Raw genomic sequence first — 25,873 nt, 5'->3', positions numbered from 1 at the left:
TTGCAGTGAGCCGAGATCATGCCACTGCACTGCAGCCTGGGCGATGGAGCAAGCTTCCATCTTAAAAAAAGAAAAGAAAAAGAAACGTGTGCTCGCAGAGGAGATGTTTGCTGACTCTAGGAAGTGCCCAGTGCTGGGAGGAATGATTCCTCTAAGACCAGTAAGGCCGCACATGTCAAAGCATCAGAATGCAGAAAATAAAAGACATGAATAACACATTCCCCATACAGAACAGAAGCCACACCTCCGAGGTATTAGTGGTGAGGGGTACTTACCACCAAGGTCACACATAAGTGGGAACACTGACAGGTCAAAGGCGGTCAGCACGCTTCTCCCGTTGACGCTCCAGACCTCCTGCAGAGCTTGCATGAACTGTAGCCGCTCGCCCTCGGACCTGGCATGCAAAACCACGCTTGTCAAGATGGTGAGGATCTGGGGACGTGCCCAGAGCAAGGGTGTACATAACCCCCTGTTGAGAACGGAGCTATACCCCACAGGTGCACCTGGAAGGCTTGCATTTGTGAAATGGAACAGGAAGTCATTCGGGATGGGGGAACCATAGGTCAGCCAGCAAAGTGTACCCAGCTCCGGGAAACCTGGAGTTGATTCAGAACGGACGATTGTTCTCTGGATGGGAAGGGATTTCTATCTGAAGAGGAGTTTAGATGTTTTCTAAGAGGAAAGTCAATAATACGTTCCCCCATCCACAGAGCTCAGCCCCAGAGGACAAATCCAGGAAGCGGGTGGGAGGTCCACACATCCTGGGGAAGAGGCTAGAGAAAAGGCAGGAACTAGGAAGGGAGGCAGGTGAGATGGAGCCAAGAAGGATAGGTGGACACAGAGGCGGACAGGGCTCTGGTGTTGGAAGCATTTCCTGCTCCTCCCCCCCCACAGCTCCCTCTCTCCTCCTGTCCTCTCTGCAGAGCCTGCTGTAGGGGTTTGCCTCAGAGTAGCGAGGGCTGAAAAATTGCCTCTTAGGTACCACGGTCACTATTCAGGTGATGGGCACACTAAAAGCCTAGGCTGCAAGGTGCAACATGTAAGCATGGAAGACATGGGTACTTGTGCCCCCTAAACAGATACATATATTCACATACACATACACATGTATACACACATATATATATATATAAAGAAAGGAAAGAAGGAAGAAGGAAGAAAGAAAAAGAAAGAAAGGAGGGAGGGAGGGAAGGAAGGAAGGCAGGCAGAAGGAAAGAGGAAGGAACGAAGGAAGGAAGGAGAAAGAAGGAAAGAAAGAAGGAAAGAAAGAAAGAGAGAGAGAAAGAAAGAGAGAAACGGGGGAAAGGAAAGCAGACCGAGGAGAAGAGAGGAGGAGAAAAGGAGGTGAAATACGGGGCATGAAAACAGAGAAGATGAGAGAAAGAAGACGGGAGAGGAGAAGGAGAGAGGCAGGTGAAGGGAGGGGAAGGGAGGCGAGAGGAAAGGAGAGAGGGAAGAAGAGAGAGGAGACAAGAGAGGGAAGATGGGAGAGAGGAGGGGGAAGATGGAGAGGAAAAGAGAGGAGAGAAGAGAAGAGAAGGAAAAGGAGAGAAAGAGAGGAGGATGGAAGAGGAAAAGAGAGGGAACAGGACAGAAGGAGAAGAGAGGGGAGGGGAGAGCAGGGGAGGAGAGGAGAGGTTGGGGGGCAGGCGAACCACTCAGGCATCCCCTTGTCCTTCATACCCTTCCCTACTCCATGCCTCAGCCAGCTGGAACACTGGACGGGCCCATCAATTCACCTCCATCTGGGAATTCTAGGTAAGAGCTTCGGGCAAAGGCCAAAGCTGTGTCCACATCGCAAAGCAAAGTGAAGAGCTGAGGTCTCACCTGGCCTCACCTTCACCTCTGACCAAATCAAAAACTGGGCCTCTATATTCTTTTCTTTTCTTTTTTGAGATGGAGTTTCACTCTTGTTGCCCAGGCTGGAGTGCAGTGGTGCGATCTCAGATCACCGCAACCTCCGCCTCCCGGGTTCAAGCAGTTCTCCTGCCTCAGCCTCCCGACTAGCTGGGATTACAGGCGTCCGCCACCACGCCCGGCTAATTTTTGTATTTTTAGTAGAGACGGGGTTTCACCCTGTTGGCCAGGCTGGTCTCGAACTCCTGACCTCAGGTGATCCACCTGCCTCGGCCTCCCAAAGTTCTGGGATGACAGGCGTGAGCCACCGCGCCCGGCGCGTGCCTCCATTTTCTACATAAACACTGAGTTTGTGAGTAGTCCTTTCGAAGGAAGGGTCACGTTGCACCTCCTCAGGAATTTGATCAATTTAAACATCAGATGAGCAAAATCTGGGGTAGTAGTGGGGATAGGGGATGTTATTTTAAATTAAATGGCAGCTTCCTCCTGGGTTGTGCCATTTGAGTAAATGGATTGGGTTTCCTAAGTCCTTTAAAAATAAACAGAATCTTATCTGAGTTGTTGGTTTCAAAGTGATGGGTGTTACCTGTAGATGGCCGTAAAAAGCTCTTCAGCGGGAACGCCAAACGTCTCCAGGTACTGGTTCCTTCCTTCTCTAAGAAAAGAGAGAGAAGGCTGATTTTCATTTCATTTCATTTCATTTCATTTCATTTCATTTCATTTCGTTTCATTTCGTTTCATTTCATTTCAGCTCTGTAGCCCAGGCTGGAGTGCAATGGCACGATCTCGGCTCACTGCAACCTCTGCCTTCTGGGTTCACGCCATTCTCCTGCCTCAGCCTCCCGAGTAGCTGGGACTATAGGCGCCCGCCACCACGCCCAGCTAATTTTTGTATTTTTAGTGGAGACAGGTTTCACCATGTTGGTCAGGCTGGTCTCAAACTCGTGACCTCAGGTGATCCACCCGCCTCGGCCTCCCAAAGTGGTGGGGTTACAGGTGTGAGCCACCACACCTGGCCTTATTTTATTTTAGGAGATGGAGTCTCGCTGTGTCGCCCAGGCTGGAGTGCAATGGCACGATCTTGGCTCACTGTAATCTCCGCCTCCCGGGTTCAAGCGATTTTCCTACCTCAGCCTCCCGAGTAGCTGGGATTACAGGCACCTGCCACCGTGCCTGGCTAATTTTTGTACTTTTTAGTACAGATGGGGTTTCATCATGTTGGTCAGGCTGGTCTCGAACTCCTGACCTCAGGTGATCTGCCCGCCTTGGCCTCCCAAAGTGCTGGGATTACAGGCGTGAGCCACCGCACCTGGCCTTATTTTATTTTATGAGACGGAGTCTCGCTGTGTCGCCCAGGCTGGAGTGCAATGGCGCGATCTTGGCTCACTGCAATCTCCACCTCCTCGGTTCAAGCGATTCTCCTGCCTCAACCTCCCGAGTAGCTGGGATGACAGGCACCCGCCACCATGCCTGGCTCATTTTTGTATTTTTTAGTAGAGATGGGGTTTCACTATGTTGGTCAGGCTGGTCTCGAACTCGTGACCTCAGGTGATCCACCCGCCTCGGCCTCTCAAAGTGCTGGGATTACAGGCGTGAGCCACCGCGCCTGGCCAGCTGTTGCTTAATTGTTTAAACCTGAGGACTTAATTGTTACACGTGACCTTTTTCTTCCTTGCCCAAATTCTTATCTAAGGGGCCTAGGGAGTTATGCTCTATAACTATAAAGTCTCGTGAGATGGGTTTTATTTAACCCTATATTACGTGGCTCACTTTCCAACCTGACTCTGGCATAACAACCCATCACAGATAAAGAAGAAAATCAAAGGCTGGGCGTGGTGGCTCACACCTATAATCCTAACACTCTGGGAGGCCAAGACGGGGGCAGATAGCCTGAGCTCAGGAGTTGGAGACCAGCCTCAAAGACAGGGTGAAACCCCGTCTCTACTAAAACACAAACAATCAGCCAGGTGTGGTGGATGCCTATACTCCCAGCTACTGGGGAGGCTGAGGCAGGTGAATCACTTAAACCCAGGAGGCGGAGGTTGCAGTGAGTCGAGATCATACCACTGCACTCCAGCCTGGGCAACAAAACAAAACTCTGTCTCAAAAAAAAAAAAAAAAAAGGAAATAAAAATATTTTAGCCCCAAACATGTTCTCTTTACCATAGCTTGAAATACTCCTGTAAAGCTACCTGTTGTGGAGAAAATCTACGTTCTGGAGAGAATCACCTTCCTTTTCCTTCCTTTTTTCTGATCCAGGAGAGAACCAAGTCAGATAGGAAACAGTAACAGTCTATTCTTTCTGAAGCCTGCTACCTGGAGATTTCATCTACATAATAAGAATTTGGTCTCCACAACCCCCTATGTTAACCCAGACACCCCTATTTTTTTTTTTTTTTTTTTGAGATGGAGTCTCGCTCTGTCGCCCAGGCTGGAGTGCAGTGGTGCGATCTTGGCTCACTGCAACCTCCGCCTCCCGGGTTCACACCATTTTCCTGCCTCAGCCTCTCCGAGTAGCTGGGACTACAGGCGCCCGCCACCACGCCCGGCTAATTTTTTGTATTTTTAATAGAGACGGGGTTTCACCGTGTTAGCCAGGATGGTCTCGATCTCCTGACCTCGTGATCCGCCCGCCTCAGCCTCCCAAAGTGCTGGGATTACCGGCATGGGCTACTGCGTCCGGCCACCCAGACACTCCTTTCTATTGAGTCCAGGTCTTCTCTCTCTCTCTCTCTTTCTTTCCTTCCTTCTCTTTCTTTCTCTTACTTTCCATTATTTCCCTTCTTTCCCTCCCTCCCTCCCTCCCTCCCTCCCTTCCTTCCTTCCTTCTCCCCTCTCTCTCTCTTTCTGTTTCCTTCTTTCTGAGACAGAGTTTTTGCTCTGTTGCCCAGGCTGCAGTGCAGTGGCACAATCAGCTCATTGCAGCCTCTGCCTTCTGGGTTCAAGCAGTTCTCCCACCTTAGCCTCCTGAGTAGCTGGGACTACAGGTGCCTGCCACCATGTAGGCAGGCAGATCACGAGGTCAGGAGATGGAGACCATCCTGGCTAACATGGTGAAACCCCGTCTCTACCAAAAACACAAAAAATTAGTCGGGTGTGGTGGCGGGTTCCTGTAGTCCCAGCTACTTGGGAGGCTGAGGCAGGAGAATGGCGTGAACCCGGGAGGCATAGCTTGCAATGAGCCGAGATGGCGCCACTGCGCTCCACCCTGGGTGACAGAGCAAGACTCCATCTCAAAAAAAAAAAAAAGAAAGAAAAGAAAAGAAAAAACAAAGAAAAAGAAACCTTCCCTTTCACCTCCTCCACTGCCACTTCACCAGCCCCTGGCGGTAGTCCTGAGACTTGGTCACTGCCTGGATGCAGCCCCCACCTCCCAGCATCTGCCTGGGGTCAGCCCCCACCTCCCAGCATCTGCCTGGGTGCAGCGCCCACCTCCCAGCATCTGCCTGGGGTCAGCCCCCACCTCCCAGCATCTGCCTGGGTGCAGCCCCCACCTCCCAGCATCTGCCTGGGTGCAGCCCCCACCTCCCAGCATCTGCCTGGGTGCAGCCCCCACCTCCCAGCATCTGCCTGGGGTCAGCCCCCACCTCCCAGCATCTGCCTGTGGTCAGCCACCACCTCCCAGCATCTGCCTGGGGTCAGCCCCCACCTCCCAGCATCTGCCTGTGGTCAGCCACCACCTCCCAGCATCTGCCTGGGGGCAGCCCCCACCTCCCAGCATCTGCCTGGGTGCAGCCACCACCTCCCAGCATCTGCCTGGGGGCAGCCCCCACCTCCCAGCATCTGCCTGGGTGCAGCCCCCACCTCCCAGCATCTGCCTGGGGTCAGCCCCCACCTCCCAGCATCTGCCTGGGGTCAGCCACCACCTCCCAGCATCTGCCTGGGGGCAGCCCCCACCTCCCAGCATCTGCCTGGGTGCAGCCACCACCTCCCAGCATCTGCCTGGGGGCAGCCCCCACCTCACGGCGTCTGCCAGGTGGCCCCAGCACCGGTAGCTGGTCCTGCCCATGTACTTCAGCATGCTGCATTGTGACGTCGGGCTGACCGTGGTCAGGTAGTCGCTGGACAGCTCTGTGTTTCGATAGAAAGCTGAAACACACACAAAAAAACAGGGAAAAAGCAGTGAGATTCCGAGTTCCTGCCGGCGGACGCTCCCCAGCTCGACAACATCGTGATTTCAACATGATTACAAGCCCATCTCTTCTTTAGAGATGGGGTCTTCCTCTTGCCTTGTACAGCTGGAGCCTTCTGTGGAAGGCGCAAAGGTGACCTGGGGCGGCTAGCACCCCCGTCGGGTTCGGTTTGTACAAATCCCCATCGGGAGTTTGGGTGCAGCAAGTACAAAGGCAGATGAGCCACGAGAGGAAACGTACGTTACATTCCACAGAATGTCTAAAATAACTTATTGAGGCCGGGCGTGGTGGCTCACACCTGTAATCTCAGCGCTTAGGGAGGCCGAGGCGGGTGGATCACCTGAGGTCAGGAGCTCGAGACCGGCCTGGCCAACGTGACGAAATCCTGTCTCTACTAAAAATAAGTGGCCCAGGCTGGTGGATCACCTGAGGTCAGGAGCTCGAGACCAGCCTGGCCAACGTGATGAAATCCTGTCTCTATTAAAAATACGTGGCCCAGGCTGGTCTCGAACTCCTGGGCTCAAGGAATCCCCCAGCCTGGGTCTCACACTCTGGCAGCTTTGACGTCCCCAGGGCAGAGGTCGGTAGCTGCCACAAAAACCACACGACCCCCAAACCTGCAAATACAGATGGAGTCTCGCTCTGTCGCCCAGACTGGAGTGCAGTGGCACGATCTCGGCTCACTGCAACCTCTGCCTCCCGGGTTCATGCCATTCTCCTGCCTCAGCCTCCTGAGTAGCTGGGATGACAGGTGCACGCCACCACACCCGGCTAATTTTTTGTATTTTTTTTAGTAGAGACGGGGTTTCACTGTGTGAGCCAGGATGGAGACTGTTTCACTTTTTACAGAACACGTGGGCTGCAGAGGGTGTCTATGTAAAATGCCTCCTTCAAAACGCCCGTGTCCTCACCTTTTCCTCCCCTCGTCTCCACTTTCAGCAGCTTCAGGGACACACAGATGTCCAGCAGGAGCTCTGTCCCATGGGCGCTGGCCCTCACACCTGCAGCCACTGCCGCCACGTCCAGGGGCCCTGGGGCCTCGGCGAGAAGGTCAAACACGCCCAGCTCGCAGGCGGCGAAGAGAACCTTGGAGCAGGAGCGGAAATAAAAGGTCAGGGCTCAGCCTCCTGGGAACCACAGTCTTAGAAACACCCCATACCATGGCAGGCTAGGGAGGAAAGCATTGTTTTATTTATATTCTTATTCATTTATTTATTTTTTTTTTTGAGACAGAGTCAAATGAGATTGCACCACTATGGAAAACAGTCATATTTATTTATTTATTTTTATTAATTAATTAATTTATTTATTTTGAGTTGAAGTCTCACTGTATCACCCAGGCTGGAGGGCAGTGGTGCGGTCTCGGCTCACTGCAACCTCTGCCTCCCGGCTTCACACCATTCTCCTGCCTCAGCCTCCCGAGTAGCTGGGATTACAGGCCTGTTCCACCATGCCTGTCTAATTTTTGTGTTTTTAGTAAAGATGGGGTTTCACCATGTTGGCCAGGCTGGTCTCGAACTTCTGACCTCGTGATCTGCCAGCCTCGGCCTCCCAAAGTGCTGGGATGACAGGCGTGAGCCATTGCGCCTGGCCCCACCCTGTTTTCCATAGCCGTGCAACCTCATTTAAAAATGTCTCCTGGCTGGGTGCTTTAACTCATACCTATAATCCCTGCGCTTTGGGAGGTGGGTGGATCACCTGAGGTCAGGAGTTTGAGACCAGCCTGGCCAACATGGTGAAACCCCATCTCTACTAAAAATACAAAAATTAGCCGGGCGTGGTGGCTCATGCCTGTAATCCCAACTACTTGGGAGGCTGAGGCAGGAGAATCGCTTGAACCTGCTAAGCGGAGGTTGCAGTGAGCCGAGATCTCACCACTGCACTCCAAGCCTGGGTGACAGAGTAAGACTCTGTCTCAAAAACAGAGACAGAGGACCGGGCGTGGTGGCTCACGCCTGTAATCCCAGCACTTTGGGAGGCCTAGGAGGGTAGATCACTTGAGGTCAGGGGTTCGAGACCAGCCTGGCCAACATGGTGAAACTCCGTCTCTACTAAAAATACAAAAATTAGCCAGGCATGGTGGTGCGCACCTGTATCCCAGCTACTCGGGAGGCTGAGGCAGGAGAATGGCGTAAACCCGGGAGGCAGAGGTTGCAGTGAGCCAAGATCGCATCACTGCACTCCAGCCTGGGCTGGACAGAGTGAGACTCCGTCTCAAAAAAAATAAATAGGCCGGGTGCGGTGGCTCACGCCTGTCATCCCAGCACTTTGGGAGGCCGAGGCAGGTGGAGCAACTGAGGTTGTGAGTTCGTGACCAGCCTGACCAACGTGCAGAAACCCCATCTCTACTAAAAATACAAAATTAGCCTGGTGTGGTGGTGCATGCCTGTAATCCCAGCTACTCGGGAGGCTGAGGCAGGAGAATCACTTGCACCCGGGAGGCAGAGGTTGTGGTGAGCCGAGATCGTGCCATTGCACTCCAGCCTGGGCAACAAGAGCGAAACTCCGTCTCAATAGATAAATAAATAAATACATATAAAAATAAAATAAAGCAGTAATCAGGTAATGCCTTCAAATAATACACAAACTATAAAAAATGAATAAATCAGCCAGGCGTGGTAGCTCACGCCTGTAATCCCAACATTCTGGGAGGCCGAGGTGGGCGGATCACCTGAGGTCAGGAGTTCAGGGCTAACCTGGCCAACATGGTGAAACCCCATCTCTACTAAAAGTATAAAAATTAGCTGGGCATGGTGGTGTGAGCCTGTAGTCCCAGCTACTGGGGAGGGTGAGGCAGGAGAATTGCTTGAATCCTGGAGGTGGAGATTGCAGTGAGCCAAGATCGCGCCACTGCACTCCAGCCTGGGCAACAGAGCGAGACTCCATCTCAAAAAAAAAATAAAACAAGAATAAATCATCCATGCATTTCTTTTCTTGCACACATCGTTTTGGATGGGTGCCAAGGCTCAGGCAACCTTAGTGACAGGAAGTCATAAACAAACCACAGGGAAAGATGGTTTCTTCAGGCCACGTGTCTTCCAGGATACTTACAGTTAGCTTTATTTCAACAGCATGGGGAAAGAAACACAGATTACACCTACCACTATCTTTTTGTTTGTTCTTTTTTTTGAGACGGAGTCTCGCTCTGTCACCCAGGCTGGAGTGCAGCGGTGCAATCTCGGCTCACGGCAACCTACGCCTCCCGCGTTCAAGTGATTCTCTTGCCCCAGCCTCCCGAGTAGCTGTGATTACAGGCACGTGCCACCACACCCGGCTAAATTTTTGTATTTTTTTTTTGGTATCTTTATTTGTTTATTATTATTATCATTATTTTTTTGAGACAGAGTCTCGCTCTGTCGCCAGGCTGGAGTGCAGTGGCACGATCACGCCTCACGGCAACCTCCACCTCCCAGGTTCAAGCCATTCTCCTGCCTCAGCCTCCCGACTAGCTGGGACTACAGGTGCCCGCCACCATGCCAGGCTAATTTTTTTGTATTTTTAGTAGAGGCGGGGTTTCACCATGGTCTCGATCTCCTGACCTCGTGATCTGCCTGCCTCGGTCTCCCAAAGTGTATTAGTTGTTTTTCTTATGAAGGTTGTAGTAAGATATATTCTATTCAAGTGGTATTAGCTTTTTTATTAAACTGTTATCAATTCCTGTTTGGTTAAGGTTGCATTGACTGTTTGTTTCAGTAAGTCTGCATAAAGTTTATTATTCTAAGCTTGTATTAGCTCCTTTTCTATTAAAGCTATATTAGGCCAGGTGCAGTGGCTCACACCTGTCATCCCAGCACTTTGGGAGGCCAAGGCAGGCAGATCACTTGAGGTCAAGAGTTCGACACCAGCCTGGCCAACATAGTGAAACCCCGTCTCTACTAAAAATACAAAAAGTAGGCATGGTGGTGCACGCCTGTAATCCCACCTATTCGGGAGGCTGAGGCAGGAGAATCGCCTGAACCCGGGAGGCGGAGGTTGCAGTGAGCTGAGATCATGCCACTGCCCTCCAGCCTGGGCAACAGAGTGAGACTAGGTCTCAAAAAAAAAAAAAAAAAAAAAAAGCTATATTAATTCTTGTTCTTTAATGTTGTATTAACCTTTTTCTTTTTTATTTATTTATTTATTTATTTATTTTGAGACGGAGTCTGGCTCTGTCACCCAGGCTGGAGTGCAGTGGTGCGATCTCGGCTCACAGCAAGCTCCGCCTCCCGGGTTCAAGGGATTCTCCTGCCTCAGTCTCCCGAGTAGCTGAAACTACAGGCGCCCACCACCACGCCCGGCTAATTTTTAAAATATTTTTAGTAGAGACGGGGTTTCACCGTGTTAGCCAGGATGGTCTCAATCTCCTGACCTCCTGATCCACCTTCCTCGGCCTCCCAAAGTGCTCAGATTACAGGCATGAGCCACCACGCCCGGCCCGTATTAACCTTTTTAAATTAGCGTTCTGTTTTGTTTTATTCATTAAAGTTGTATTCATTCCTTTTGGGGTTGTCTCAATTAATTGTTCTTTTAAGGGCATATATTAAATGTTACCTTCTTATGGCTGAGTTCACCCTTGGTCTATGAAAGGTGCATTAACTGTTTCTGTTAAGGGTACGCTAACTTTGATCTTTTTTTTTTTCTGCTCCCAAAGACTTTTTATTATTATTATTATTATTATTATTATTATTATTATTATACTTTAAGTTCTGGGGTACATGTGCAGAACGTGCAGGTTTGTTGCACAGGTATACATGTGCCATGGTGGTTTGCTGCACCTGTCAACCCGTCACCTACATTAGGTATTTGTCCTAGTGCTCTCCCTCCCCAGCCCCCACTTTTTTTTTTTTTTTTTGAGACAGGGTCCCGCTCTGCCCCCAAGGCTGGAGTGCAGTGGCGTGATCTCGGCTCACTGCAACCTCCACCTCCCGGGTTCACGCCATTCTCGTGCCTCAGCCTCCCAAGTAGCTGGTACTACAGGTGCCCGCCACCACGCCCAGGTAATTTTTGTATTTTTAGTAGAGATGGGATTTCACCATATTGGCCAGGCTGGTCTCGAACTCCTGACCTTGTGATCCGCCCGCCTCGGCCTCCCAAAGTGCTGGGATTACAGGCGTGAGCCACTGTGCCTGGCCAAGGGTATACTAAATGTTATCTTCTTAAGGCGATATTCACTCTTGGTCTATGAAAGCTGCATTAGCTAATTGTTTCTGTTAAGGGTGTACTAAGTTTGATCCTCTTAAGGTGGTATTAACTCTGCATTAACTCTGGTTCTGTGAAACTTCTGACAACTCCCATGACATGGTATCATGTGCCTTAAAGTGACTGCTCTTCCAAGATTTAGAACCCACCAGACCACCTCCCTGAACACCGCTGTGAACCAGCGACAGTCTTTGAATGAGCAGTCAATAGCCCCAGCAGGAGGCCTGCGGTCAAAGGAGGCAAAGGTAGCAAGTTACTGTTGTCTGGGACAGTAACAGAAATCCCACCTTTACTAAAAAATAGAAAAATTAGCCAGACATGTTGGCTCATGCCTATAATCCTAGCACTTTGGGAGGCTGAGGCAGGCAGATCACCCGAGGTCAGGAGTTCGAGACCAGCCTGGACAACATGATGAAACCCCGTCTCTACCAAAAATACAAAAAATTAGCTGGATGTCAGTGGCTCACGCCCGTCATCCTAGCACTTTGGGAGGCTGAGGCAGGCAGATTGCCCAAGGTCAGGAGTTCAAGACCAGCCTGGCCAACATGATGAAACCTCATCTCTACCAAAACTACAAAAAATTAGCCAGAGGCAGTAGCTCACACCTGTAATCCTAGCACTTTGGAAGGCCGAGGCAGGCAGATCGCCCGAGGTCAGGAGTTCGACACCAGCCTGGCCAACATGATGAAACCCCGTCTCTGCCAAAAATACAAAAATTAGCCGGGCGTGGTGGTGGACGCCTGAAATCCCAGCTACTCAGGAGGCTAAGGCAGGGGAATTGCTTGAACCTGGGAGGGAGAGGTTGCAGTGAGCTGAGATCATGCCACTGCACTCCAGCCTGGGCAACAACAGTGAAACTCCATATCAGAAAAATAAATAAAAATAAAAATAAAAATAAAAGTTAGCCAGGCTTGGTGGCAGGCACCTGTAATCCCAGGTACTCAGGAGGCTGAGGCAGGAGAATCGCTTGAACCCCGTAGGCGGAGGCCGCTCTGCGTATCAGTGGCTGGGGAATAGGTATTTTTAACCCTTGGGGGCCTAGAGGTAAAATTCACGGGCTCTACAAACCAGGAAGGAGAAGAGACTTCACTCTAATTTTCACTACCTCTTCCTAAGATGTGGTGTTCCCTTCAACCATGAGCGTACTGGCAAACCACAGCCATGATAGAAGAAAGTGTGGGGGCCAGGAGGATCACCTGAGGTTGGGAGTTCGAGACCAGCCTGACCAACATAGAGAAACCCCATCTCTACTAAAAATACAAAATTATCTGGGCGTGTTGGAACGCGCCTGTACTCCCAGCTACTCGGGAGGCTGAGGCAGGAGAATCGCTTGAACCCGGGAGGCAGAGGTTGCAGTGAGCCGAGATAGCGCCACTGCGCTCCAGCCTGGGCGACAAGAGGGAAACTCTGTCTGAAAAAAAAAAAGGAAAAAAACAAACAAAAAAAACCGGTGGCTTGCTGACGGAGAGAAACCACAGATATTTTCAAGTCACACGAGAGCTGCTGCAGACATCTCAAAATATCGTCAGCACACGACCCCCTTTCACGATGATGCTGGTTTTTGGTTTTTGTTCTGAGACAGAGTCTCACTGCGACACCCAGGCTGGAGTGCAGTGGCATAATCTCGGCTCACTGCAACCTCTACCTCCTCCGGGTTCAAGCAATTCTCCTGCCTCAGCCTCCCGAGTAAATGGGATGACAGGTGCCCACCATCATGCCTGGCTAATTTTTATACTTCTAGTAGAGACGGGGTTTCACCATGTTGGCCAGGCTGGTCTTGAACTCCTGACCTCAAGTGATCCGCCCACCTTGGACCCCAAAAAGTGCTGGGATGACAGGCATGAGCCACCGCGCCCTGCCGTTTATTTTTTAAAGAGACTCAGTATTGCTCTGTCATCCAGGCTGGAGTGCAGTGGTGCAATCATAGCTCACTGCAGCCTTCATCTCCTAGGCTTAAGCGATCCTCCCGCCTCAGCCTCCTGAGTAGCTGGGACTACAGGTGTGCACCACCCCACCTGGCTAATTTTTAAAATATTTTTGGCCAGGCACAGTGGCTCACGCCTGTAATCCCAGCACTTTGGGAGGCCGAGGCGGGCGGATCATGAGGTCAGGAGATCGAGACCATCCTGGCTAACACGGTGAAACCCCGTCTCTACTAAAAATACAAAAAATTAGCCGGGCGTGGTGGCGGGTGCCTGTAATCCCAGCTACTCGGGAGGCTGAGGCAGGAGAATGGCGTGAACCTGGGAGGTGGAGCTTGCAGTGAGCCGAGATCGTGCCATTGCACTCCAGCCTGGGCGACAGAGCGAGACTCTGTCTCAAAAAGAAAAAAGAATTTGTAGAAATGGGGGGTCTCACTATGTTGCCCAGACTGGTCTCGAATTCCTGGGCTAAAGCGATTCCCTCGTTTCGGACCCCCAAACCGTTGGGATGACAGGTGTCACCGCTGAGCCCGGCCATCATTAACCCTTTTCAAGCATAATTCAGGGGCACTTAGTACATTCGTGATGTTGTATAGCCAGCACTTCCGCCGGGTTCCAGAACATTTGCATCACCCCAAAAAGGGACACTGTCTCCGTTAAACACTCCCTCCGCAGTCCTGCCCAGCCTCTGCAAACCACCAGTCCACTTTCCACCTCGAAGGATTTGCCTGCTCTGCACATTTCATATAAATGAAGTCATACCATATGGGGCCTTTCACGTCAGCCTTCCTTCACTGAGCACGATGTTATTCTGTGAGAAGAAGAAATGAGGCCTTGGGAGGCCGAGGCAGGTGAATCACTTGAGGTCAGGAGTTCGAGACCAGCCTGGCCAACATGGTGAAACCCCATCTCTACTAAAAATACAAAAATTAGCCGGGCGTGGTGGTGGGTGCCTGTAATCCCAGATACTCGGGAGGCTGAAGCAGGAGAATAGCCTGAACCCTGGAGGCGGAGGTTGCAGTGAGCCAAGACCGTGCCACTGCACTCCAGCCTGGGTTACAGAGTGAGACTCCAGCTCAAAAAAATAAAAAAAAGGAATGAGGTGTTGCTCCTCTACGGGTGAACCCTCAAAACTCACCTCTATGATAAACGCACAGTGTAATTATTTACTGGGTTAATAAACAACCACATATACTACTCTATCATGAAATGTTTTAAAAATTTCAACACTTGCAGTTCAATAAACATTGTCTTGTTTCTAATCCTATGTATTTCATCTTAAGCTTTGTTTCTTTTTTTTTGTTGTTTGTTTGGTTTTTTTTTGACACAGAGTCTTGCTGTGTCCCCCAGGCGGGAGTGCAGTGGTGCGATCTCGGCTCACTGCAACCTCCGCCTCCCAGGTTCAAGCGATTCTCCTGCCTCAGCCTCCCAAGTAGCTGGGATTATAGGCATGTACCACCAAGCCTGGCTAATTTTGTATTTTTAGTAGAGATGGGGTTTCTCTGTGTGGGTCAGGCTGGTCTCGAACTCCCGACCTCAGGTGATCCGCCCGCCTCAGCCTCCCAAAGTGCTGGGATCACAGGTGTGAGCCACCACGACTGGCCCAATGTACTTACATACATTGATTGATGACTCATGTCTCTGTAAAATGTATCAAACCAAGCTGTCCCCAGACCACCCTGGGCACATGTCCTCAGGAACTCCTGAGGCTACATCGTGGGTGTACGTCTTTCACGGTGGAAAATAAACCTCCTAAAATGATGGAGACTCATCATTTTTCTCGACTGACACAACAATGGAACGTGAGTGTGATGAACGGAAGTCTATTCCCCCTTGTCCCACAGAGCGTATCCTACCTGGGACACCATGAAGCCGTTGGCGTAGTCATTAAGGAGGCGATAGGCCTGGTCCTCTGAGGATCCCATCTTGTCTCCAATCCAGCCGTGGCTTCCGGAGCCTCTGGAGCGCTTGCTTCAAGGAGCACAGAGCCTGCTGGCAAGGTGGGGAAGAGCCACCCGCTCACAGCTGCTGCCTGACTCTCCCTGCTGCCTGCCCAGTACTCAAACAAAGACGGATCACTCTAGAAATTTGCATTAACCGTATTAGGGGATCACAAAGCGTGTGGCGATTCCCTGGCTTTCTGGGCGCCCCTCCGCAGCCCTAAAATAGTCTGCATCAGGCCCCCCCGAGCCCTTGACTCATCAGCTGTAGAACTGATCCCAAACCAATATGCTCACCCATCATTAGCACTCATTAATCGTCTTATGGATTGAGCAGGTCCTGCATTCATTTCTGGGGGTCGTGCGAATTTCTGCAAACTGGGTGGCTCAAGAAACCAGTTCTCTCACACTTCTGGAGGCTGGAAGTTCAACATCAAGATGCCAGCAGGCCAGCCTGGGCAACATAGTGAGACCCCTTTTTTTTTTTTTTAGATGGAGTCTCGCTCTGTCGTCAGGCTGGAGTGCGGTGGCACCATCTCAGCTCACTGCAACCTCTGCCTCCTGGGTTCAAGCGATTCTCCTGCCTCAGCCTCTCGAGTGGCTGGGACTATAGGCACACACCACCACACCTGGCTAATTTTTGTATTTGTAGTAGAGACAGGGTTTCACCATGTTGGCCAGGCTGGTCTCCAACTCCTGACCTAAGGTGATCCACCCACCTCGGCCTCCCAAAGTGCTGGGAAGACAGGCATGAGCCAATGTGCCTGACTAATTTTTTAATTCTTTGTAGAGATCGGGGTGGGGGGGGGGTGTCTCACTATGTTGCCCAGGCTGGTCTTGAACTCCTGACTTCAAGAGATCCTCCCACTTCAGCCTAGATATCTTGCAACGTTTATTTGGACAATCTAAATGCCTGCACATAATTAAAATGTGACCGTGCCAGGGCTGGGCGTGGTAGCCTGTCATCCCAGCACTTTGGGAGGCCGGGGCAGGCGGATCACAAGGTCAGGAGATCGAGACCATCCTGGCTAACACAGTGAAACCCAGTCTCTACTAAAAATACAAAAAATTAGCTGGGCGTGGTGGCGGGTGCCTGTAGTCCCAGCTACTTGGGAGGCTGAGGCAAGAGAATGGGTGTGAACCCGGGAGGCTGAGGTTGCAGTGAGCCAAGATCGCGCCACTGCACTCCAGCCTGGGCGACAGAGCGAGAATCTGTCTCAAAAAAAAAAAAAAGTGACCGTGCCAGGTCTCTACCCCATTTCTGAGGATGCATGTCTCGCCGCAACCTCTGCCTCCCAGGTTCAAGTGATTCTTCTGTCTCAGGCTCCCAGTAGTTGAGATTACAGGCACCCACCACCACGCCCGGCTAATTTTGTATTTTTAGTAGATACGGGGTTTCTCCATGTTGGTCAGGCTGGTGTTGAACTCCTGATCTCAGCTGATCCGCCTACCTCGGCCTCCCAAATTGCTGGGATGACAGGCGTAAGCCACCACTCCCAGCCTCCAGAGTGATTTTCTAGGGGAAAAATATAAACACAGCCTGTCATCCCAGCAATGTGGGGCAGATCACATGAGGTCAGGAGATCGAGACCAGCCTGGCTAACACGGTGTAACCCCGACTCTACTAAAAATATAAAAATTAGCCAGGTAAGGTGGCTCATGTCTGTAATCCCAGCACTTTGGGAGGCTGAGGTGCGAGGATCACTTGAGGTCAGGAGTTCAAGATCAGCCTGGTCAACATGGTGAAACCCCGTCTCTACTAAAAATACAAAAATTAGCCGGGCATGGTGGCAGGTGCCTGTCATCCCAGCTACTTGGGAGGCTGAGGCAGGAGAATCACTTGAACCTGGAAGGGAGAGATTGCAGTGAGCCGAGATTGGGCCATTGCACTCCAGCCTGGGCAACACAGTGAGGTCTGTATCAAAAAGAAAGAAAGAAAGAGAGAAACAGAGAGAGAGAAAGAGGAGAGGAGAGAGAGAGAGAGAGAAAGAAAGAAAGAAAGAAAGAAGAGAAAAGAAAGAAGAGAGAGAGACAGAAATGGAAAGAAAGAAAGGAAAGAAAGAGAGAGAGAGATACAGAAAGAAAGAAAGAAGGAAGGGAGGGAGGAAGGAAGGAAGAAAAAGAAGGAAAGAAAGAAAGAAAAAGAAAGGAAGAAAGAAAGGAAGGAAGAAAAAGAAAAGAAGGAAGAAAGAAGGAAAGAAAGAAAGAAGGAAAGCAAGAAAGAAAAAGAAATCCTTGAAGTTCAGAGCGATGAAGGGTCCTTGGGGACACCTTACCTGGAGACAGAAGGGGCTGGCCCCCAATCATATTTGCTTAATGGAATCCCAAAGCTACTGTCAGGAGACCAAATCTCTGCCTGCTGTGGGGATTTCTCAGGGATCTGAGTTAAGGCGATTACCTTAGGAATTGAGAAGGGCAGGAACACGGTTACTAGAGAGTGGAGTCTTACAAAGGACATGAACGGACACTTTTTCTTTTTTCTTCTTTTTCCTTTTGAGACAGAGTCTCGCTTTGTCACCAGGCTGGAGTGCAGTGGTGTAATCTTGGCTCACTGTAACCTCCACCTTCCAGGTTCAAGCGATTCTTCTGCCTCAGCCTCCCGAGTAGCTGGGATTACAAGCACCTGCCACCATACCTGGCTAATTTTTGTATTTTTCGTAGAGACAGGGTTTCACTATATTGGCCAGGATGATCTCGAACTCCTGACCTCAGGTGATCCGTCTGCCTCAGCCTCCCAAAGTGCTGGGATAATAGGCATGAGCCACTGAACCCAGCCAACAGGCACTTTTCCAAAGATGACACACACGTGGCCAACAAGCATATTGTATTAGTCCGTTTTCATGCTGCTGATAAAGACATATCTGAGACTGCGTAATTTTGGGTAATTTTTTTTTTTTTTGAGATGGAATCTCGCTCTGTCACCAGGCTGGAGTGCAGTGGCACGATCTCAGCTCACTGCAAGCTCCGCTTCCCGGGTTCAAGAGATTCTCCTGCCTCAGCCTCCCCAGTAGCTGGGACTACAGGCGCCCACCACCACACCTGGCTAATTTTTTGTAATTTTAGTAGAGACGGGGTTTCACCGTGTTAGCCAGGATGGTCTCGATCTCTTGACCTCGTGATCCGCCCGCCTCGGCCTCCCAAAGTGCTGGGATGACAGGCGTGAGCCACCGCGCCCGGCCAACAGACACTTCTCCAAAAAAAGACACACACGTGACTGACAAGCATATTAGTCCATTTTCATGCTGCTGATAAGACATACCTGAGACTGGGTAATTTTGGGTAATTTTTTTTTTTTTTTTTTGAGATGGAGTCTCGCTCTGTCACCAGGCTGGAGTGCAGTGGCTCGATCTCAGCTCACTGCAAGCTCCGCCTCCCGGGTTCGTGTCATTCTCCTGCCTCAGCCTCCAGAGTAGCTGGAACTACAGGCACCAGCCACCACAGCCAGCTAATTTTTTGTATTTTCAGTAGAGACAGGGTTTCACCGTGTTAGCCAGGATGGTCTCGATCTCTTGACCTCGTGATCCACCCGCCTCGGCCTCCCAAAGTGCTGGGATGACAGGAGTGAGCCACCGCGCCCGGCCAACAGACACTTCTCAAAAAGAAGACACACGCGTGGCTGACAAGCATATTGTATTAGTCCATTTTCATGTTGCTGATAAATACATATCACACTCATGGCAGGAAAGCCAAGGAGAAGCAAAGGCATGTCTTACCTGGTGACAGGCCAGAGGGCGTGTGCAACAGGGGACCTCCCATTTATAAAACCATCAGATCTGGGCCAGGTGTGGTGGCTCACATGTGTCATCTGGGCAGTTTGGGAGGCGAAGACAGCTGGATCATTTGAGGTCAGCAGTTTGAGACCAGCCTACCAACATGGTGAAACCCCATCTCTTCTACAAATACAAAAAATTAGCTGGGCGTGGCAGTGCATGCCTGTTATCCTAGCAACTTGGGAGGCTGAGGCAGGAGAATCGCTTGAACCCGGGAGGTGGCGGTTGCAGTGAGCCGAGATCGCGCCGCTGCACTCCAGCCTGGGCGACAGAAGGAGACTCCATCTCAAAACAAAGAAAAAAAAAGATGAAGATGTTAGAAGGTGATTTGGGGGTGTGGACAGAAGGGGAGGGGAGGGAGAGCTGGATTTTGGGGTGAAGGTGGTTTTGGAAGTCTTTGAAATCCGAGGCAGGAGGGACCGGGTGGGTGCTCCCAGGAAAGACCGTCTCTGCCAGAGGGAACAGCAGGTGCGGAGGCCGTGGGGTAGCGGCAGTGCGTCCGGGCTGTTCAAAGAAGAGACAACAACCCTGCATGGGTGGAGCATCTGGAAAGACAGAGGGAGAGGAGGGGAGGGGGCCGATGGACAGGAGACAGGGTGGCTTTAAAAGCCCTCAGGGACATTGCACGGAACCCCTCACCACCTTGAGACAGCGTCTGGCAGGACGGTTTCAGGAGAGGCCTGCATGGTCTGGACACAGTCAGAAGCTGCCATTTTGGGGATGGGATGTTTGGGACACAGAGTTGGCCGGAAAGCCCAGGAGCTTTTGTATAACTTGGGTGAGTGGGACGGGCTGAAGTTTTGGCTGGAGTAGGGTCAGGGGTGGCCTGGAGTCTTAGCTGGAGTAGGGGCAGGGGAGGCCTGGAGGTTTGGCTGGAGCAGGGTCAGAGGCGGCCTGGAGGCTTGGCTGGAGTCGGGGTGGGGAGAGAGGCCATTTATTTTACTATCTCCTGTCTCTGAAGAGAAGGAGGAAGTAAAAGTTGAAAAACAACAGGAATGAAGTCAGTGGCAAGACCAGCCGGCACCCCTGACCAGGCCTGAGGTTAAAACATTAACCCCCGACTCTAACCACACGTGCTCTCAATCTATCAGAACCCTTTCACGTGGAACCCCTTAGAGTTGTAAGCCTTTCAAAGGGCCAGGAGCTCTGTCTTCGGAGAGCCCGGTTCTCGAGACGTGAGTCCGCCAACGCTTCCGGCCGAATAAAGCCAAAACCTTCCTAAACCTGGTGTCTGAGGGGTTTTATCCGCGGCTAGTCCTGCTACAGGGGCAGGAGTGGCCTGGAGGTTTGGCTGGAGTAGGAACGGGGGCGACCTGGACGCTTGGCTGGAACAGGGGCAGGGGCGGCCTGGAGGGTTGGCTGGAGCAGGGGCGGGGCGGCCTGGAGCTTTGGCTGGAGCAGGGGACAGGGGTGGCCTGGAGGCTTGGCTGGAGGAGGAGCAGGGGCGGCCTGGAGGCTTGGTTTGAGTAGGGGACAGCGGCGGCCTGGAGGTTTGGCTGCAGTAGGGACAGGGGTGGCCTGGAGGCTTGGCTGGAGTAAAGGAAGGACTGGCCTGGAGGCTTGGCTGGAGTAGGTGACAGGGCCTCCTGGAGGCTTGGGTGGAGTAGGGGACAGGGGTGGCCTGGAGCTTTGGCTGGAGTAGGGGCAGGGGCGGCCTGGAGCTTTGGCTGGAGTAGGGGACACGGGCAGCCTGGAGGCTTGGCTGGAGTAGAGGACAGGGGCGGCCTGGAGGCTTGGCTGGAGTAGAGGACAGGGGCGGTCTGGAGGCTTGGTTTGAGTAGGGGACAGGGGCGGCCTGGAGATTTGGCTGCAGTAGGAACAGGGGTGGCCTGGAGGCTTGGGTGGAGTAGGGGAAGGGCTGTACTGGAGGCTCAGGCACCTGAAGCTTCCTACAGGCCTCGGAGTCTCACCGCGGCAGCGGCAGCAGGAGAGGAGGGGCCCGAGAGAGATTGAGAAGAGCCTGGGACCCTACCGACCAGCGTGGTGTCCCCATGTCCCCAGAATGCAGAAGACCCAGGGCTGGGGTTTGGCGGGGATGTGTGGAGTCTGAGATGCCTGTGGGGTGACTGGCCCTGGATGGTCCAGTGTGCAGGTCCTGCCCTGGGGCAACTGTAAACAGCCGCCCCCTCCGTTCTCCCAGGGGAACATACTGTTGCTTTTTTTTTTTTTTTTTGAGACGGAGTCTCGCTCTGTCACCCAGGCTGGAGTGCAGTGGCGTGATCTTGGCTCACTGCAAGCTCCGCCTCCCGGGTTCACGCCATTCTCCTGCCTCAGCCTCCCCAGTAGCTGGGACTACAGGCACCTGCCACCACACTCGGCTAATTTTGTTTTTGTATTTTTAGTAGAGACGGCATTTCACCGTGTTAGCCAGGATGGTCTCGATCTCCTGACTTCGTGATCCGCCCAACTCGGAGTCCCAAAGTGCTGGGATTACAGGCGTGAGCCACCGCGCTCAGCCCCTGGAGTAGGGACAGGGGTGACCTGGAGGCTTGGCTGGAGTAGGGGCAGGGGTGACCTGGAGGCTTGGCTGGAGTAGGGTCAGGGGTGGCCTGGAGTCTTAGCTGGAGTAGGCGCAGGGGTGGCCTGGAGAGGTAAAGCCTGTTGCCTTTACCTCCCAATGACCCTGGCACAGATGGGCTTCCGGACTGAGTGCCTCGGTGGTCTCTGGCAGCCTGGACAGCCTGGACAAGAGTCATTTGCTGCAGAGAGGGGACGGGACGGAGTGATGGGAAAAGTTTTTCACCAGGAGCAGAGGCATGAGCTGAGTGAGGTGGGGTGCAGGGAAAAGCCCCTGCCATCTGGGACGGAGGCGGCAGCCCCTGTGCAGGCCGATCCAGTGGCCGGGTGCAAACTCGGGAGGTTTGCTGGGGCAGCGTACAGCGGGGAGGGTAGGGGGTCGAGCTCCCGCTCTGAGTCAGGCTGTGCAGGAGAGCAAGGCGGGAGACACAGGATGCCCCAGCTCCTGGGCAGGTGGACGGGGCTTGAGGACGCCACCAGGAGGGTGTGCGTGTCCTCCACCAGGTGGGAAGGAGGATGAGCTAGTGAGGAGGGGCAGGTGCCCAGGAAGGAGGCATGGGAGGAGGTCCCAGACGGGATGCCTGGGTGATGCAGCTCCGCTCACCCCTGCCCGAGCTGGCCGGTCCGGCCGCAGCTTCAGCATCCCCTGGGAAGCCGCTGTTGGAGATGCTGGAGGCCTGCGGGGCGGGCCAGGGCAACACATCACCACCTGGACATCCATGGCTACGGCTGAGGGCTGGGACCTCTCCTATACCCCCCATGCATGCATGTTTTTCTATACTCTTTATTGTTTTACTTTTTTTGAGATGGAGTCTCGCTCTGTCGCCCAGGCTGGAGTGCAGTGGCGCAATCGCCTCTCACTGCAAGCTCCGCCTCCCGGGTTCACACCGTTCTCCTGCCTCAGCCTCCGGAGTAGCTGGGACCACAGGCGCCCGTCACCACGCCCGGCTAGTTTTTTTTGTATTTTTAGTAGAGACGGGGTTTCACCGTGTTAGCCAGGATGGTCTCGATCTCCTGACCTCGTGATCCGCCCGCCTGGGCCTCCCGAAGTGCTGGGATTACAGGCGTGAGCCACCGCGCCCGGTCTGTTTTTCTTTTTAGAGACAGAGGGTCTCTCTTTTAGAGATGGGGTCTCACTCTGTCGCTCAGGCTGGAGTGCAGGGGCACCATCATTTCTCCCTGCAGCCTTGAACTCCTGGGGTCAAGCGATCCTCCTGCCTCAGCCTCCCGAGTAGCTGGGGCCACAGGCACCCACCACCACGCCCAGCTACTTTAAAAACTTTAAAGTTTCTGTATGTTTGCTAGAGACAAGCTCTCACCATGTTGCCCAGGCTGGTCTCGAATGCCTGGGCTCAGTCAATCCTCCTGCCTCAGCCTCCTGAGTAGCTGGGACTACAGGTGCCTGCCACCAAGCCTGATTAATTATCTTTGTAGAGATGGGGTCTTGCTATGTTGCCCAGGCTGTTCTCAAACTCCTGGGCTCAAGCTATCCTCCTGCCTCGGCCTCCCAGAGTGCTGGGATTACAGGCATGAGCCAACCTACGCATTTGTAATATTATCTAAAATTTTTCAAAAATGCAGATGGTGCCATTTTAGACATAGAATATGTAATTTTTCAAAAACTCTTTGCTTCATCCCGAAGGCTGCGGCCTATGGAATTTGAACATGATCACAATCTGGTAACCGTATTCACCCATTTTAACAATACAGGTGAACAAATTAACAGCAGTTCATGTCATATTGGCACTTTTGAAATACATTTTATTTATTTATTTATTTATTTGAGATGGAATCTCACTCTGTCATCCAGGCTGGTGTGCAGTGGGGTGATCTCGGCTCACTGCAACCTCCGCCTCCCGGGTTCAAGCGATTCTCCTGCCTCAGCCTCCCGAGTAGCTGGGACTACAGGCACGCACCTCCATGTCCAGGTAATTTTTGTATTTTTAGTAGAGATGGGGTTTCACCGTGTTGGCTGGGCTGGTCTGGAACTCCTGACCTCGGGTGATCTGCCTGCCTCAGCCTCCCAGAGTGCTGGGATGACAGGCGTCAGCCACTGCACCTGGCCCATTTTTTTTTTTTTTACCTTGATGTATTATTATAGATTTAGGGCATAGAAGTGCAGTTTCGTTACCCTGGAGGCCGTTACTTTAATTGAAATCACAGAGACACAGAAAGTCAAACGCAGCGTGTTCTCACTTCTGAGTGGGAGCTGAGTAATGTGTTCACGTGAGCACAGAGAGTGGAATCGTAGACACAGCGCTGCTTTATTCACACGTACCCGTATCCCCATCCTCCTTCCCTCTGGAATTCCAAGCTGCACTTTTGAACTTGAAAGTTTACCTGGTGAGGCTGGGTGCGGTGGTTGATGCCTATATTCCCAGCACTTTGGGAGGCAGGTGGATCACCTGAGGTCAGGAGCTTGAGACCAGCCTGGTCAACCTGGTGAAACCCCATCTCTACTAAAAATTAAAAAAAAAAAAAATAGCCAGGTGTGGTGGCAGACACCTGTAATCCCAGCTACTTGGGAGGCTGAGGCAGGAGAATCACTTGAACCCGGGAGGCGGAGGTTGTGGAGAGCCGAGATTGTGCCACTGCACTCCAGCCTGGGCGACGGAGCGAGACTGTCTTGAAAAAAAACAAAAAAACGGAAGGAGCCGAGGATGGTCACCGTGACACAGGCCATACTCAACAGGGAAGTTTGATTTTTTTGGCTGAAAGAGATCCTGAGATCCCAACTGAAGACACGAGGCAAATCGGTTCAGAACTAAGTGTCATAAAAGGGTATGAACGAGAGAATCACACTTTCTCACTCGTATTTTGCAATAAATCCATTCGTTTTCTGTTCTGCCACATGGAAGTGAAATTCCTTGTGGATTTTTATTTTTTATTTTTTATTTTTTGTGAGACAGAGTTTCACTCTTGTCGCCCAAGCTGGAGTGCAATGGTGCGATCTCAGCTCACCGCAATCTCCGCCCCCCAGGTTCAAGTAATTCTCCTGCCTCAGCCTGCTGAGTAGCTGCGACTATAGGCATGTGACAACACGCCTGGCTAATTTTTGTATTTTTAGTAGAGACAGGGTTTCTCCATGTTGGTCAGGCTGGTCTTGAACTTCTGACCTCAGGAGATCCACCAGCCTCGACCTCCCGACGTGCTGGGATTACAGGGATGAGCCACTGCACCCGGCCTATTGTGGATATTTTAAGTGGATAATAATCCCAATCACTAGAAAGGGACTGAACACAAAGTGCCCTAAATCACAAGACCGAGAGAGACAAAGAGAGACTAAAATAGAGATAGGGAGAGAGGGCAAGCAGAGGGGAAGCTGGGCGAGAGGAGAGAAGGAAGGATTAAGAGAGGAGGAGAGACAGGCCGGGAGCGGTGGCTCACGCCTATAATCCCAGCATTTTGGGAGGCCAAGACAGGTGGATCACGAGGTCAGGAGTTCAAGACCAGCCTGGCCAAGATGGTGAAACCTCGTCTCTACCAAAAATACAAAAAATTAGCCGGGCATGGCAGCAGGTGCCTGTAATCCCAGCTACTTGGGAGGCTGAGGCAGAGAATTGCTTGAACCCAGGAGGCGGAGGTTGCACTGGGCCGAGATCGCGCCACTGCACTCCAGCCTGGGCAACGGTGAGATTCCATCTCAAAAAAAAAAAAAAGAAAGAAAAAAAAGAAAGGAGGAGAGACAGAGACAAAAACAGAGATCAGAAGAGAGTACAAGCAGAGGGGAAGCTGGGCGAGAGAAGAGACAGCAGGGAAAAACAGGGGAGAGACTGACAGGGGTTGAGAGAGGGAGGAGGGCAGGGCACGCACACACCAATCTCCTATGCTCCCCCCAGAAATCTGTGGGGCAACATTCCTCGGGTCGAATGCTTCCATTTCTTCCTTCCAGGCTCAAGTGTAAAGACAAAATCTAATCAGTAACAGCGTTGCTTCAATTAATCTCCATTCTCACCTATCAGCCGCTACTTACTGCTACTGACCCCTACAGCAAAGAAGAGAAATTTCAGCCGGGCGCGGTGGCTCACGCCTGTAATCCCAGCACTTTGAGAGGCCGAGGCTGGTGGATCTCCTGAGGTCAGGAGTTCAAGACCAGCCTGGCCAACATGAAGAAACCCTGCCTCTACTTAAAAATTCAAAAATTTTAGAATTTTTGAATTCGTCTCAAAAAATAAAAGAGAAATAGGAAAGAGGGAAGGAAGGAAAGGAAAAAAGAAAGAGAAAAGGAAAGAAAAGGAAAAGAAAGGGAGGGAGGGAAGGAAGGAAGGAGAGAGAGAGAGAGCACGAGCGATAGACAAAAGAGAAAACAGAGAAAAGGAGTTCAGATTCCTAAATCTCTTCCATAGATACCCAATTCTATAGGCCTGGGGGTGGTGCTCTCCAGCTTTCCTAGACTGCCCACATCTAACATATCACAAGGCAACACGCATTCAATTTCTGCCACCTTCTCTCCCATCAACCCCTAGCCCAGTCCACCAGCACTTCAAGCCGCCACACTCATCACACTCCCAGCTTACAGCCCCTCTTGCTTCTCGTCCCAAAAGTCTGGAGTGGGT

At 51.8% G+C, this 25,873-nt stretch overlaps 1 protein-coding gene across 3 annotated transcripts in view, besides 4 other annotated features; it reads right to left on the bottom strand.

The window, feature by feature from the left end:
* Window positions 1–15,156, bottom strand: part of ASMT (acetylserotonin O-methyltransferase) — a 28,023-nt gene extending 12,867 nt beyond the window's left edge. For 2 of the 3 annotated variants that reach the window (NM_001171038.2, NM_001416525.1), the window contains exons 1-5: window positions 14,947–15,156; window positions 6,902–7,076; window positions 5,817–5,946; window positions 2,444–2,512; window positions 276–394 (exon numbers count right to left, since the gene is read on the bottom strand). In NM_001171038.2, the coding sequence (NP_001164509.1) occupies window positions 276–394; window positions 2,444–2,512; window positions 5,817–5,946; window positions 6,902–7,076; window positions 14,947–15,015 (562 nt within the window). In that variant the 5' untranslated portion in view covers window positions 15,016–15,156. The remainder of the gene's footprint in view (window positions 1–275; window positions 395–2,443; window positions 2,513–5,816; window positions 5,947–6,901; window positions 7,077–14,946) is intronic. The other variant, NM_001171039.1, reaches the window with a different exon arrangement.
* Window positions 11,068–11,705: an enhancer, noted in NCBI's record as "OCT4-NANOG-H3K4me1 hESC enhancer chrX:1737403-1738040 (GRCh37/hg19 assembly coordinates)". NCBI's record gives its function as "activates a minimal SCP1, AML or CMV promoter by ChIP-STARR-seq in naive H9 embryonic stem cells {active_cell/tissue: H9 hESC(naive)}" and the evidence as "EXISTENCE:reporter gene assay evidence [ECO:0000049][PMID:30033119]".
* Window positions 19,583–20,165: an enhancer, noted in NCBI's record as "H3K27ac-H3K4me1 hESC enhancer chrY:1678943-1679525 (GRCh37/hg19 assembly coordinates)". NCBI's record gives its function as "activates a minimal SCP1, AML or CMV promoter by ChIP-STARR-seq in primed H9 embryonic stem cells {active_cell/tissue: H9 hESC(primed)}" and the evidence as "EXISTENCE:reporter gene assay evidence [ECO:0000049][PMID:30033119]".
* Window positions 20,166–20,750: an enhancer, noted in NCBI's record as "H3K27ac-H3K4me1 hESC enhancer chrY:1678358-1678942 (GRCh37/hg19 assembly coordinates)". NCBI's record gives its function as "activates a minimal SCP1, AML or CMV promoter by ChIP-STARR-seq in naive H9 embryonic stem cells {active_cell/tissue: H9 hESC(naive)}" and the evidence as "EXISTENCE:reporter gene assay evidence [ECO:0000049][PMID:30033119]".
* Window positions 21,767–21,939: a silencer, noted in NCBI's record as "fragment chrX:1727169-1727341 (GRCh37/hg19 assembly coordinates)". NCBI's record gives its function as "represses an EF-1alpha promoter that drives an FKBP-Casp9 reporter gene in an ReSE screen in HepG2 liver carcinoma cells {active_cell/tissue: HepG2}" and the evidence as "EXISTENCE:reporter gene assay evidence [ECO:0000049][PMID:32094911]".

This window comes from Homo sapiens, chromosome Y (assembly GCF_000001405.40).
Source record: "Homo sapiens chromosome Y, GRCh38.p14 Primary Assembly".
Classification (NCBI taxonomy): Eukaryota; Metazoa; Chordata; class Mammalia; order Primates; family Hominidae; genus Homo; species Homo sapiens.
Note: the sequence above shows the minus strand (reverse complement) of the source record. Positions and strands in the feature narration are given on the sequence as shown.